The sequence below is a fragment of the Homo sapiens genome, chromosome 5, assembly GCF_000001405.40.
Source record: "Homo sapiens chromosome 5, GRCh38.p14 Primary Assembly".
NCBI lineage: Eukaryota > Metazoa > Chordata > Mammalia > Primates > Hominidae > Homo > Homo sapiens.
This window is the reverse complement of record NC_000005.10, coordinates 54,152,209-54,167,390: the sequence shown is the minus strand read 5'-3', so window position 1 is coordinate 54,167,390 and position 15,182 is coordinate 54,152,209. Positions and strand designations below refer to the sequence as shown.

The 15,182-nt window shown below is 35.4% G+C and overlaps 1 protein-coding gene across 10 annotated transcripts in view; it reads left to right on the top strand.

Moving 5' to 3' along the window:
• Window positions 1–15,182, top strand: part of ARL15 (ARF like GTPase 15) — a 426,632-nt gene that overhangs the window by 143,183 nt on the left and 268,267 nt on the right. For all 10 annotated transcript variants that reach the window (NM_019087.3, XM_011543500.3, XM_017009598.2 and 7 more), the window contains one exon: window positions 12,752–12,811. In NM_019087.3, coding sequence (NP_061960.1) covers window positions 12,752–12,811 — 60 coding nt within the window. The remainder of the gene's footprint in view (window positions 1–12,751; window positions 12,812–15,182) is intronic.

The window sequence follows — 15,182 nt, the reverse complement described above, 5'->3', positions numbered from 1 at the left end:
GTTCCAGAGGGAGCTGAGGTGGAGCTCAGTGAACTCCCTGCATTGAGGAGATGAAGCCGAGAGCAAGGGGAGACCAAGATGGCTAATGTTCATAGAATAGAATACCAGAGAAAAGAGTTGTACAGAGAGAGAACACTAAAGATTTTCAGAGTCTCCCTTGAGTATCCAGCAAAATATTCAATGCATGCATGTGAGGAAACTTCCCAAGGCCAGGGCAAGAACCATCTTAAAGGACTAGAGGGAACAGTGGTTGGTGTTCATACAGGGTTGAAAACTATGCCTGTAATCACCAGATGGACTGAAAAACTTATAACTCACAAGGAACTGGGTAGAGTACTTGGCAAGGTCAGCCGTAAGTGGAGTACCACTCTGGACTCACATGACAGATAATATTAGCAAGTCCCAAAACCTCAGATGGTTGTCTGGTAATGTAATGCATCTCAGCACAAAGCTGTATAGGATTTAAAGAAAAAATATTCATCACTCAACAAGGTAAAATTCACAATGTCTGCCAGTCAGTCAAAGATTATCAGGGATGGGAAGAGGCCAGAAATCATGATTCATAATGAGAATAATCATCGAATTGGAACTGACCCAGAACTGATGTAAATATTAGAAGTAGCAAAGGGGGACATTAAAACTGTTATTATCACTGTATTGTATCTGTTCATAGAGACAATCTGAGAGAGAAAAAAATGCAAAGAGCATCCAGCGAGCTATGGGACAACTTTAAACCTAAGCTAGGGTAATTTGAGTCCATGAAGGTGAGTGGAAAGGGACAGAAAAATATTTGAAGAAATAATGGCTGAAACATTGTTGAACATGAAGAAAACTCTACACCTACAGATCCAAGAAGCTCACTGAACCCCAAACAAAAGGAACATGAGCAAGGCTGGGCACAGTGGCTCACACTTGTAATCCCAATACTTTGAGAAGCTGAGGCGGAAGTATCACTTGAGGCCAGGAATTTGACACCAGCTTGGGCAACATAGTAAGACCCCCATCTCTACAAATAAATAAATAAATAAATTAGCTGCATGTGTTGGTGCTTGCCTGTAGTCCCAGCTACTTGTGAGGCAGAAGTAGGAGGATTGCTTGATCCCAGGAGTTTGAGGCTGCAATGAGCTGTGATCACACTGCTTTACTCCAACCTGGGTGACAGAGAGAGAGACCCCATCTCTTGTGGGGGAAAAAAAGAGAGAGAGAGAAAGAAACGTGAATATAACTATACCAAGGCACATCATAATAAAATTGTTCAAAACCGGTGATAAAGAATATGATGTTTAATTTTGTGTGTAACTGGCTGGGTCCCAGTGCCCAAATATGTAGTCAGACATTAGTCTGGATATTTCTATAAGGGTAGTTTGGGATGAACTTAATACTTAAATCTGCGGATTTTGACAGATTGTCCTCCATAATGTGGTTTGGCCTCATCCAGCCAGTTGAAGGCCTGAATAGAATAAAAGACTTGCCTCCCTGGAACAAGAGGGAATTCTTCAGTAAATGGCCTTTGGACTTGAACTGCGTATTGATTCTTTCCTGGGTCTCCAGCCTGCCAGCCCAAACTGTAGATTTTGGGTTTATAGCAACTGTAATTGTGTGAGCCAATTTCTTAAAGTATTTCTCTGTCTCTATTTATATATATATATATAAACAAAGGTATATATTTATATCCATACATGCACCTATACATACATATAAATATGCATATAAACACACATCCTTTTGGTTTTTTTTTTCTCTTGAGAACAAAGTAGTACAAAGAAAATACCTTAAAAGCAGATAAAAGATGTTACATGAGTAAGAATAAAAATAAGGATGGCATCACATTTTTTCACTGGAAAAATGCAAGTAAGAAGACATTGGAGCAGCATCTGAAAGGGAAAAAACTGTCAACTAATATCCAGCAAAAGTCTCTTTTAAAAAGAAAGTAAAAATAAAGACTAGACTTTTTCAGACATACAAAATCTGAAGGAATTTATTGCTAGCAGATAAGCATTATAAGAAATGTTAAAAGAAGTCCTTGAGTCAGAAAAAAAATGATACCAGATGGAAATCTGGATCTATATAAAATGGAGACTGCCAGAAATGCAAATTATGTGGATAATTATATAATATTTACTTCTTATTATTTAAATATCTTTAAGAGGTATGTCTTTAAACAACAATAATAAGCACATATTATGGGGTTAACAACATATGTAAAAGTAAAATGCCTGAGAACAATAGCACAAAGGTCATGGGGAAAAAGGGAAGTACACTATTGGAAGATTCTTGTACTATATGTGAAGTCGTATAATAACACTTGAAGGTAGACTGATTAAAGATTTACTGTAAACCCTAAAGTAACCAATAAAATAACAAAACAAAGGATGAGAGCCCATAAAGCAACAAATGAGATGAAAATAGAATTATCAAAAATAATCCAAAAGAAGGCAGAAAAAGAAGAAAAGGGGAACAAGAATAGATGAAACAAATAGGAAACAAGTAGAAAGGTGATACAGTCAAACCTAAACATCAATAATAATATTAAATATAAATGATCTAGACTCCTTAATTAAGAGACAGAGGTTGATATAATAGATTTTTTTAAAAACCAAGACCCAACCAAATACTGACTTTAAGAATCAAACTTTAAGTATAAAGACACAAATAGATTAAATATACAAAGGTGGAAAAAGATACATCATGCTAACACTAGTCAAAAGAAAGTTGGGGTAGCTATGTTAATATTAGACAATGTAGATTTCAGAGCAATGAATAAGGCTGGGGATAAAGAAGTTCATAATGATGAAGGGATCATTTATTCAGGAGACTGTAATAATTCTACACATTTATGTACCTAACAGAACTTAAAAATATATGAAACAAAAAAATGACAGAACTGCAAAAAGAAATGTACAAACCCACAATTACAATCAGCGACGTCAGTTTCTCTCAATACTTTATAGATCATGTGGGAAGAAAATCAGCCAGTACGTAGCAGACTTCAACAACACTAACAGCTAACTTGACCTGATTAACATTTTATAAAATACTCCACCCAACAACAGAAGACATTCTTTTCAAGTACACATAGAATATTTGCCAAATTAGGCCATAACCTGGTTTATGAAAGCAAATCTAAATAAGTTTAAGTGGCTTCAAGTTATATCCAATATGTTCTTAGACCGTGATAGAATTGCATTAAAAATCAATAACAAGAAGAAAAAAAAAATCTCAAGTATTTACAAACTCACTTACTTCTAAATGACCCACGAATCAAAGAAGGTAGCAAAAGAGAAATTATAAAGGATTTTGCACTGAATGACAATGCAACATATTAGAATTTGTGGTGCCTATAAAACGGGACTTTAAGAAAAGTTTATACCACTAAATGTCTATTCAGAAAAGAAGGGCCTCAAATCAATGACCTCAGCTTCCACCTTAGGGAACTGGAAGAAAAATGGATTAAACCCAAATAAGCAGAAGAAAATAAAGATCAAAGTAGAAATCAATGAAATAGAAGAGCCATAGAGAAAATTAGTAAAACCAAAAGCTAGTTCTTTGAGAAAGTCAGTAAAACTGGTAAAACTCTAGCCAAACTGATCAGAAAAAATAAAAAAGACACAAATAACCAATATCAGGAATAAGAAAGGTGACATCAATATAGATTCTATAAATAGTAAGAGGTTAATAAGGGAATATCATGAACAACCTTATGCCAGTAAATCTGACAACTTAGAGAAAATGGACAATTTCCTTGAAGGACAAACCATCAAATCTCACTCAAGAAGAAATAGAAAACCTGGATAGACCTATATCTGTTTAAGAAATTGATACCTTTTCTTTCTTTTTTTAAGTCTAGTTGGTTTCACTAGTGAATCCTACCAAACATTTTAAGGAAGAAATACTGCCAATTCTTTAGTCTCTTCCAGAAAATTGAAGAGGAGGGAAAAATGCCCCAACTCCTAAGACCAGCATGAAGCTGATACCAAAACCACACAGAGACATTACAAAAAAAAAAAAAAAAAAAAAAAAAAAAAAAAAAAAAAGCTTCATACCAATAGCCCTCATGGACACAGATACAAAAATTATAAGCAAAAATATACCAAATTAAATTCAACAATAATATTTTAATAGGATAATATGTCATGAACATGTGACATTTATTCTAGGAATGCAGAGTTGGTTGCACATTCAAAAATCAATCAGTTTATTCACAATATCAATAAACCAAAAGATGAAACTATGATCCTGTGAAGATATGCAAAAAACAAAAACAAAAAAAACTCAGCATCAATTTTTGACAAAAGCTATTAACAAAGTAGGACTAGAAAGGAATTACCTCAACTGTTAAAGGGCATCTGTGAAAACCCTACAGCTGTTGTCAGAGTTAATGGAGAAAGACTGAATTGTTTCCTGATCAGATCAGGAATAAGACATGGATGTCTGTTCTCACCACATCTATTCAACATTGTGGTAGAGATTCTAGCCAGTAAATCAGGCAAGAAAAATAAATAAAATGCTTTCATTTTGTGAAAGAATAAATAAAAACGTACTTGCTGATGGCATGATTGTTAAAGTAGAAAATTTAATTGAATCGACAACTCTTTGCTATAAACTGGAGATGGTTGATATGAATTAGAGCTGATAGTTTTAGAGATCTGAAAAACTATCAGAAACTTAGAGGATAGCTCTGGCTATTAGTTTTAAGAATGTTGCCCATAAGAATAGAAGCAGATAGGGTGTGGTGGACAACTGTTAGCCAAATATTGAGTTCATTCAGATAGATGAACAAAATCCCTGAAAATTGGTAGGTGGGAATGCAGAGGTCCATATATAAGTAAACGTCATAACTCAGGTAGGATGTTATTAACAAGTGGCTATGATGAAGTGTTCTAAAAGCGTAGAAGGAAGCAAAGTTTGTGCTGAGAGGCGCTGATAAGAGAAGGAAAAGCTCTGTTTGCTAGTGTATGGAGGAAGAAAAAATGTGCAGGGAAATGCTGGAGCATGGAGAAGACTTCTTAAGAAAGATAAGGTTCAATATGATTCACTGAGAAGGCTCTGTAATGATAAAGGTGAGGCTGAGTTGGCCATGGGAGGCAGGAAGTAATGATGTAGGAGAAAAGGGGTAGATGCTTGGTGTTTGGACCTGTGTGTTCATTATAGTGAAAGGAGGGCAAGATGTTGTAGAAACAAGTTACTGATGGTAGAGAAGGGTTGGCGAATAGGCAGCAGAGGAGGTCCCACAGGCTGACTTTAGTTATCGGGGATCCACAACTGTTCAGTGCTGGAGTTTGAGGTAGGCATTGCTGACATCTTCAAACTTACTGCCCAGGTCCAGAATTCTTTTGGTTGTTCATAGCAGGTGTGTATCTCTCTCTGTGTGTGTGTGTGTGTGTGTGTGTGTATGTGTGTGTGTAAGTAAAGAAGAACAAAGGGGGTGGAAGGAGGGTACTGAAATAAACAGCAAACTCCAATAGTAATAAAGGTAACTTGGAAAAGAATTGAGGAAGTCAGAAATCCACATGTGTATGTAGACTTCAGTGTGGAAGATGGCAGAATAGCTGGACTAGGCCTCCAGTGAATCATTCACAAGGGAAGGATCAAGGAACTTAACTATATAAAAATTTAAAACCATTGGAAATCTAAAATTAAGATAAATATAAAAAAATACTGTTGGAAGTATTTGCATCAGATATTACAGATAAGCATATGGCTGTCCCTCTTAGAGAATTCAACCACACTTACAAATAACATCTAGAATCTAACAGATAAACTGTGCCAAGTCTATAAAGAGATAATTCATAAAAAGAATAAATGGCAAACAAATTAATGGAAAAGTTTCAACTTTACCAGAAGTTTAACTTTACTAGAGAATAGATAAGTAAACGTTAGTTTTATACTTAAATTTACCAAAATCTGTTTCTTTATGAGACGAGTCAGTGCTGGTAAGATTGTAGTGGCATTGGTATGCACATGTATTACAGGTGACATTATGATTGTTACATTATGACTGTTATGATATCCCTTTTTTTTGGAAAGCATTTTTCTTAGAAAGCAGTTGTTCATATAAATCAAAAGTTATGAAAATGTTCACAGACCTAGTAATTATGCCACTGGCAATTTATTTTAAGTAAGTAACTTAAGGGAAACTATATGCATAAAGCAATTTCTTGCAACATTTTGTATTGCAACTAAAACTTTAAGGTAGTTTAAATGCCATACAACAAGGGAGTTTGTTAATTACATTATGGTAACTTGATCAAAATGATTATAGATTAGAAGAATATATACAGTCTTCTATTTAAAAATTAAAAATTAGATTTACATTTATTTTTTGAATTTAAACCATGGAAAACTATGCATTTGAATTAAAAAACTAGAGAAAAACTATAAGAATAACAGTGTACTTTATTGATGTGATTGAATTATGGGTAAAACCTTTATTCTTTTAAATTATTTCTCTATAATGTCTTGAAAATATAAAGCCAATTAAAAATGCAATATTTATTGAAGAGTTTTGAACATTCGAAAAGAGAATCTACCTTCAGAGTTGGTTTCTTAAAATGAAAACATATGAGAAGGATGTGTTCGTTTAATTTCAGCAAGGCGAGAATGTCTGCCTTTTCTTCAGAAAGAGAATTCAAACTTTATTGGTTTATTAACTTCAGCAATTTTTCACCTCTGACATAATTTTTAAAAGATACTTAAATTGTCAAAACTCAAAGAGCCAAGAAATCCTCCAGAGAGCAGGACCTGTTGGTGAGGAGAGAAAATTTGAGTAATTTGCACCTTAGTCTAGAAATAAAAGTGAACTCTATCCAGACTGAATTCCTTTACTGTATATGTATGAGGAATTTGTTGATAAGAGGGGTTGTTAAACTGTAGATTACATAAATGTTCACTTTTTTTTTTGAAGCAGAGGAATGGAATCTAAAGGCTTAGGAGAATATATTGATGGTACATGGAGAATAACCTAGAGAAAACTGAACACTTTGAATTGAAAAAGGTTGAAAACATCTTCTAGGGATATATACCATATTTGAAAAAGATTGAAAATGTTCATGAAAATTTGAAGAAGACATTTAAATAACTTCAGTATTAGCTTCAAATGTGTTAAGCCAACAAGAGAAACAAGTTAGAAAGTCAGATTTTGATATCTTTTAAAGGATTGTGTTTTATAAATGCCAGTACATTAAATTTCCTTTTATGATGTTGAAATCATAGTTAGAAGAATTTCGTTAGTCTGTTGTCCAAACATCACAAAACTGCTGTGGCATAAATCATGCCCTTGGTGCAGGTCAAAGCCACCAGATCTGTAGAATGTCTTTCCCTTCAGCAATTCTTAGAGTGACCCAGGAATTTCAGAAGCACACAAGTATCTGTGTGCGTGCACTCAGACTTGAGGGAAGGGGAGGAGGGTTTAGTCTGTAGGTCCAAGTGAAATACTTGTGTGTTCCACACAATGAATAAAAATAGACTAACCTTCCTCCCAAAACTAATTTTGTTACAATTCCAGGAATGCTTTCAGTGCATGAAAAACTTCAAATTCATCTTTCTTGTCTCACAGGTTTTGTTGGATTTAAGGACTGCAAAACAAAGACTGAAAGGCTATGCAAACAATTATTTCCCCAAAGAGTTACTAAGTCATATATTTATTAAAAATTTGTGGGGTTAAATCTTAGGGGAGGTTTCAGTCTTACTAATGTAGCTTAGATAGGCCAGGAAAAAATGACTGCGTAACTTAGGCTTCAGCCATCAAATTGTTTGAATGGAGCCTGGGGAGACTTAACCGTGAAGCCTTCAGCCAAATACTACAGGCCATTGATGATTGACTCAGTGGTTACTTTTATTTCCTTCTCCTTGTTTAATATAAATAATGGAATGCTAATTTTAGAGGACATCTCAAAGAGCTAATTTAGTCCTCATTTTGCACATGAGGAATTCAAGGCCAAGGCAAGACAAAAATGTGGCTGGTGAGTCTAAGAGCTGTGCTTCGGACTCCTAGGATAGTCCCTTGTCACGTTAGCACACTGACACCCTGAAGATGGCATCAGAGGACACTTCCTGTTTGAAGAAGCAAGAGAGTAGTTACACTGTCATGGATGAGTCAGTTGAACACTTTTTCCCTCCCCTCCTAAGTTCCTGATTTTATTAATTATTTCTACAAAATGTACCTTCTAAACTCATGCTATTATTTTTATTTCATTAATAAGAAAGCAATGGCATATAGACCTGAAAACCCTTATTTGGGTTTCTTGTGTTGGGTTATTTATAAACAGGAGGACAATGAATTAGTGGGTTTATTAGGTGTTGGGTTATTTATAAACAGGGAGGACAGTAAATTAGTGCATTTATTAGGCACGTGTGTATTTTGGTCAGTTGACTTTACCAGTATTTAGGCTCAAAATTGGACAAAATGCTGTGAATCCCTCAGTTTGTTGGTATATGGAGGAGACACTACAGTGTAGTGTAGGGCTCTGGTGATGAGACCTGGTTTTAAGTTTCGAATATAGCACTTAGTACTTTTTTTGAGACAGAGTCTTGCTCTGTCACCTAAGCTAAAGTGCAGTGGCCTGATCTCGGCTCACTGTAACCTCTGCCTCCCGGGTTCAAGCGATTCTCCTGCCTCAGCCTCCCAAGTAGCTGGGATTACAGGCATCTGCCACCACGCCCAGCTAATTTTTGTATTTTTAGTAGAGACGGGGTTTCACCATCTTGGCCAGGCTGGTCTCAAACTCCTGACCTCGTGATCCACCCGCCTCGGCCTCCCAAAGTGCTGGGATTACAGGCGTGAGCCACCGTGCCTGGCACTTCACTTTCTTCTTGGGACAGTAGTACTGATACCAACTTTAGGATTGTTATAGCAGCTAAATTAGGAAATAGATATTAATACTTAGCATATTGAGATCCTATTGTATGCCAAGCACTGACCTACAGAATACAGTGTAGCTTGTTTCTTCATTATGGATCCTTGCAGTCTAGCCAGAGAACAAATATAAAACAAATCAACCGATATGTAGTTACAATTGTGAAAATCACCTAGGAGGGGTACTGAATACTGGAAAAACATGGACTCAGAAAAATCAGTCTAGTTCGAGGACACCAGAGAATGCTTCCCTAACAAAGTTAGCTTGCTCAAAGTCAAACAGTTAATAAATGGAATAGGAAGAGTTTGAACCTAGACTTTCTTTCTCTAGAGCAAATGCTGTCTGGTAGCTTTTATTCCTCAAAGCAACCCTTTGAGAAAGGTATTTTGATGGTTTGACCTTTGGTATCCCTCCTAAATATTATATTAATTCTCCCCCTTGGCCTCATCCAACCTGATGTAAAGGGAAAAAAAAGTCTAATAATTTCCCTTCTTGGTTGTCCTTCTGGTGAACTGAAAGTATGACTTTAGATTTTTAGTTCCATTTAATCCTTTCAAATGTTTAGAATGACTAAAATAGAAAAAACATTGTTTCTCTTCTGTAAATAGTACATTTTCTTATTTTCTGGACTAATCAGTCTATCTAGACTTTGTCTTTTGAACATTAATTACTGAAGCTAAACCGTAAAAATAATATGGAGACAGCAACATGGATGACTGTGTATACCTTTGCAGTATAAATCTAACCACACAAGTTCTATTTGGAGAAAACATTTACGACTATTTTGTCGGGACATTTATATGCCTATAAATAATATTGTTAGGGGGCTGGGTGCGGAGGCTCGTGCCTGTAATCCCAGCACTTTGGGAGGCCGAGGCGGGTAGATCACGAGGTCAGGAGATCGAGACCATGCTGGCTAACATGGTGAAACCCCATCTCTACTAAAAATACAAAACATTAGCTGGGCGTGGTGGTGGGTGCCTGTAGTCCCGGCTACTCAGGAGGCTGAGGCAGGAGAATGGCGTGAACCCGGGAGATGGAGGTTGCAGTGAGCCGAGACCACGCCACTGTACCCCAGCCTGGGTGACAGAGCGAGACTCCATCTCAAAAAAAATAAAATAATAAAATAACATTGCTAGGATACTTTGCTTAGTGTGAACTTTTGAAGACGTTTTAGTAGTCAACTTATGAAGACTTTGCAAGAATTTAAAGACAATAACAGTGACATAATCTGCCTGTTGGGTTAATAAATTTCAAAAGTTGTATTTTGCACATAGGTGCAGCAATTTCTGGAAGGATATTACTTCCCTTTGAGAGCCTGCGTATTGTCAGCTTTTAAGAATCAAAGCAGATTAAACATTGGTGATGTGCTCCATAACCATTTCCTTTTCAAAGTTGAGGCCTGTGCCTGTCTTACTTCTCTAGAAAATCTACACTTGAGTTGTCCTGAGCATAACCACTAATAGACTGCTTAATATTTGCAGAGAGCTTTTCATTTTCAGGATTTCACCATCATTGCTTTTTAATCCATATAACACCCGTGTGAGGTAGGTAGATACATTCAGGCATCCAAGTCTCCTGCAGGTGAATTTCTGTGCCAGCAGGAATATTATGATTGGCACTGACTTTCCTTAATTTCCCAGAGGCCAGACACCTGGAGAGGCTTTCCTGCAGGCTCAGGTACATGCCAGTGTTTCAGCCACATGGGACTGCCTCCTCTTTCCTCCTGCTCATTTACTAGGATTCAGTGACTTCATGCACCATTAACCATAATGCTGTGCTGACTGTGTCAATCTGCATTAAGCCCACAAAGGAAGGGGTATGTTTTAGAAGATTGTTAGAGGGCCCAATGAACATTTTCCATCCTTTCTGTGCAGCAGACTTCAGCTGTTGACATCTTCGTCACTCCAACAAAAGTACTTTTCATTCAATGGTAACTTTTACATCTCCAACTACATACTTAGATTAATAAGTGAGCACCCAGAATCAAGTTTGTAATTATATTCAGGCAGGCAGAAAATATGTATACCTAATGATTGAATCATCAACGAAAAAGCATCAATGGAAACATAATGCCAGCAATCGTATATTATATGCTTATGGTGTACCAGGCACTGTGATAAACATAACACATACATTATCTTATCCTTATAACAACCCTATGAAGTAGATATTATCATCCCTGTTTTACAGATGAGAAAGTCGAGCAAGGCTAGTAGGTTGCCCACATTCACAGAGCTAATAAGGGACAGAGCTAGAATTTCAACCTAGTTCTGTCTGACTCCAAAGTCAGTTCTTCAAACATTATATACTATGTACTGCTTTAGGTGGAAGGTAATGTACAGCTTATTAAAGTACTGGGATAACATGCAGCAAAGAAGTGCAAAAGATAGGCTAGACTAAGAAGGTGTGTAATGATTTCCTTCTTTATAAAGCAAAACAAACCCATTTGAAAGAATTGTTTTTATCCATGTAATACTTTATATATTTTTTCATAACTTACCTCAAAGACTCATAATTTGTCTTCTTTGTTGATAAATTCTTGAAAAAGAAACTTTTTTAATCTTAAAATTATACATATTAAATAATGCTTAAAAACCTTAAGTAGAATGGTTGCTCAGAAACTATTGATACATTAACTCCTAGAAATTCATAGGGCTTTTAATTCAAAAAAGAAATATAAGTACATGGCAAAACATTCAAATGAAACAAAAGAATCTTCCTCCTATTTAAAATTTCCAGATTCCCAGTTTTCCTGAGAGTCATTAGCTCTGGTTTCTTGTGGATCCTTTCAGAAAGAATCTGTGTGTATATTTGCATGTGTGTGTGTGCGTGTGTGTGTGTGTGTGTGTGTGAATGGGTATATACACACTTGCATATGTCACAGTTGAATTTATTGTCTTGAATGGTAATAGTTAAGTCATAAATATATAGTTAATCATAGAACTGTATACTCTGAATATTTTCTTATAATATAAAACTTGTATTACATGTATTATAAAATGATTGCCTATGCATAAGTGGATAATTATGATTGTACTTTTAAGAAAAATAGATACATGACATATTAACCATGTCCTTTAAAGAAGACACTAACATAAATACTATGTAATTCTAATATGAAATGGTTATAATTTAAGTACCTTAATTTCTAGGGTTGCTGAGTTATATGTGAGAAAGAATTATAAGACATTAACTTTAAGAATTAAAGTTAGATGCAGAGGTCCTCATAGATTTAATATTTTCTTTGAAATTTCTCTATACTTTCAAATGTCTTTCTTATATCTGATAAAAGTTGCAGAGTGACATTACATATTAAATTAAAGAATAAGGCAATATTTTGAAGTAAAGGGGATAGTGTTATATATTGCCGTAATACACAACTATGTTTTTTGCTTGTTTGTTTGTTTGTTTTTGAAATGGAGTCTCGGCGTGTCACCAGGCTGGAGTGCAGTGGCCCGATCTCAGCTTACTGCAACCTCTGCCTCCCAGGTTCAAGTGATTCTCCTGCCTCAGCCTCCCGAGTAGCTGGGATTACAGGCGTGTGCCACCACACCCAGCTAATTTTTGTATTTTTAGTAGAAACGGGGTTTCACCATGTTGCCCAGGATGGTCTTGATCTCTTGACCTCGTGATCTGCCCGCCTTGGCTTCCCAAAGTGTTGGGATTACAGGTGTGAGCCACTGTGCCCAGCCACAACAACTATGTTTTGATAATGGCAGAAGATAATATTCAGTTATCAGTTTACCTTGGAAATTATGTGTTTCTAGTATAAATATCAGCTACAAAAAGTAAATAAATCTTAACCAGCCTAAAAAGAGACAATTTGAGCATCCTAAGTGTTTTAATTTAAAAGTTGCTAATTCTTTTTTTATGTTTTTGTTTTCTAATTTTAGGTTTTAGTATTAAAGCAGTGCCATTCCAGAATGCCATCTTGAATGTAAAAGAACTTGGAGGTATAACATTTCAAATCATTTCTATGTCTGCCCTTAACTTTTATGAATTTGGTAATAATGTATTATATGTAATTCAAACATAATGATAACTTATTTTAGTAGGTGGTTCATTTTTATCTTGATAATATATTTCCTAGAAATATTTCCTTCTCTTCGTATGTTTTAAAAATTGTTGAAGAGTTCTAAGTAACATAAACTTTGGGGGTTTTTTGAATGAATCAAAGAATTACACTATTATTGGCAATTTATACAGCTCATTGGTTTTACTTGTTCAAAAAATTCTTGAATAAAACATATGAAGAGAATTTTAATATCATTGAAAGATCAACTATTCGGGGAAAAGATTTGTATTTTAGAGTAGTTTGTGTTTATACTGCAGGTTTTATTGTATTAGATCTTTTTAGAATGTATTTGTTCCGATAATAAATCTTTGCCAATGGGTTCTTTGCTGGCCAAGCACATTTATCGGATAGGCTGTACCCCAAACCATACATCACTCAGTCTTTCATTACACTCTCTGTCTGGCATTTTTTGGTTGTGTTTTATGTTAGTCAGGGTCTTAACCCATGTAAATAGATTAACAAAGAAATCAGTCAATTCAGTGAACCCACTAAATTCTCTAATGGCGCATGAAAATACTAAGTGCTCTGGAGTTCAGTATGATATCGGTGAGTTTAATGACTTAGGAGAGAGTTATCTTCCATCTCTTTAATCACTTTGTGATATTGGCCTTACCTTGTTTTGTTTTGTTTTGTTTATTTTCCCTTAAGGTCATTCTAACTGTGACCTATTTTTAGCTCGATGAGATTGTAACACCAACTTTACGCCATTTTAATAGCGTTTGGTACCTTCTTATTTTTATCTAATAAAAAACTGGCTGATCTTTTCAGGTGTCTGTTTTCAGTTCGCTATGTGTAGGACAGGTTCGCTTCTGCCAGTCAATTTCATATTCACTTTTAGCTTTATAGCATTAATATATAAAACAACCATGATCAATAAATTCCGATTTTTCTTTAAGACATTTGGTTTTGTCATTTTGACTCCAAAAATTATAAAACATGAATGTTCTTATAATAATTTTTCTATGCAAAGTTTTTAAAAGACTGTGTTCTATTAGGGTATTTTAAATTATAATTGTACTTTTAAGAAAAATAAATGTATGGCATATTAACCATGCCATATGCTTAAAACCTTAAATACAATGGTTGCTCAGAAACTATTGATAAATTAACGTCTAGAAATTAGTTTAATTTAATTTAATTCAAAAAAGAAATACAAGCAGCTGGCAGAACATTCAAATGAAACAAAATAATCTTTCTCCTATTTAAAATTTCCAGATGCATGGTTTATAAAAAAATGCTTTTTTGCTTTGTGGCTTCTGCTGATTATTCCTTGGTGACAATAATATTACTTATGGATATTTAAAAATCAAAGAACACATTGTAAATGCATGGTTTGAGAGTTATATGGGTTTTAAATATGGCTGTTACTAAGTATTTTATTTTTAGGTTGGACACAAAGCTTTTATTGAACACCTTCCAGGTATAAGAAACTATTGGTTGGTTAATAAGACATTTATTACATATGATGTTTACTTGGATGAAACAAACAGTAACTGTATGTGGACAGTTTTAAAAAAAGTGAACACCAAGGAATTCGTAAGGTTGGCTCTGTGCCATCAAAATTCAGTACAATGAAAGATCAAGTTAGGGGACTAGAGGTACATAAGGTGGGAATAGGTCTGTTCTCAAGCACGGTTTAATTTTGCCGAAAGAGCTGTTCCCTGACAGTTGCTGAAATGGAAATTACAATGGAGAGGATACCATAGGATTTGGTGGTTATGTTTTAGTTGGTACCTATTTCGTAATGAGGTTAAGAGATGCAGGTAAAAGGCAGAGCCTCAGGGATCAGAGCAGATACATTCGTTCCAGGCTAGTGATACATAAGTTTTTGGCATGTGTTAGTATTGAAGAGCAAATTTCTAGCCTATGCATAGATTCTTTTACTTTCTCAACTTTAATAGCTCTGTTTCCAGTTGACACAGTGTCTGAAGGAAGAGGGGACTTTCTGAGTAGAATCCAATTGTGTATCCTGTGTCACATGCTCGGGGGCAAGCACTTAAGGGAGTTGACTTCTTGACAGCTCATTCACTAAGTCATTTCCTCAAATATTTTTTGAGGCTAGGTACTAGGTTATGTCTCAACCAGGAACACATGAAAAGCTAGGCTAACCTGTATAAAGTGTAGCTTTCCTAGGAGTTAACGTGTATGCTAGATATGAAGGGGATCATCCCAAAATAAGGTGTATGTGCACTTAGGGGGAATTATGACTGGCTGAAATCAAGTTGTCTGAGAGGGAGTTGCTTGACTGA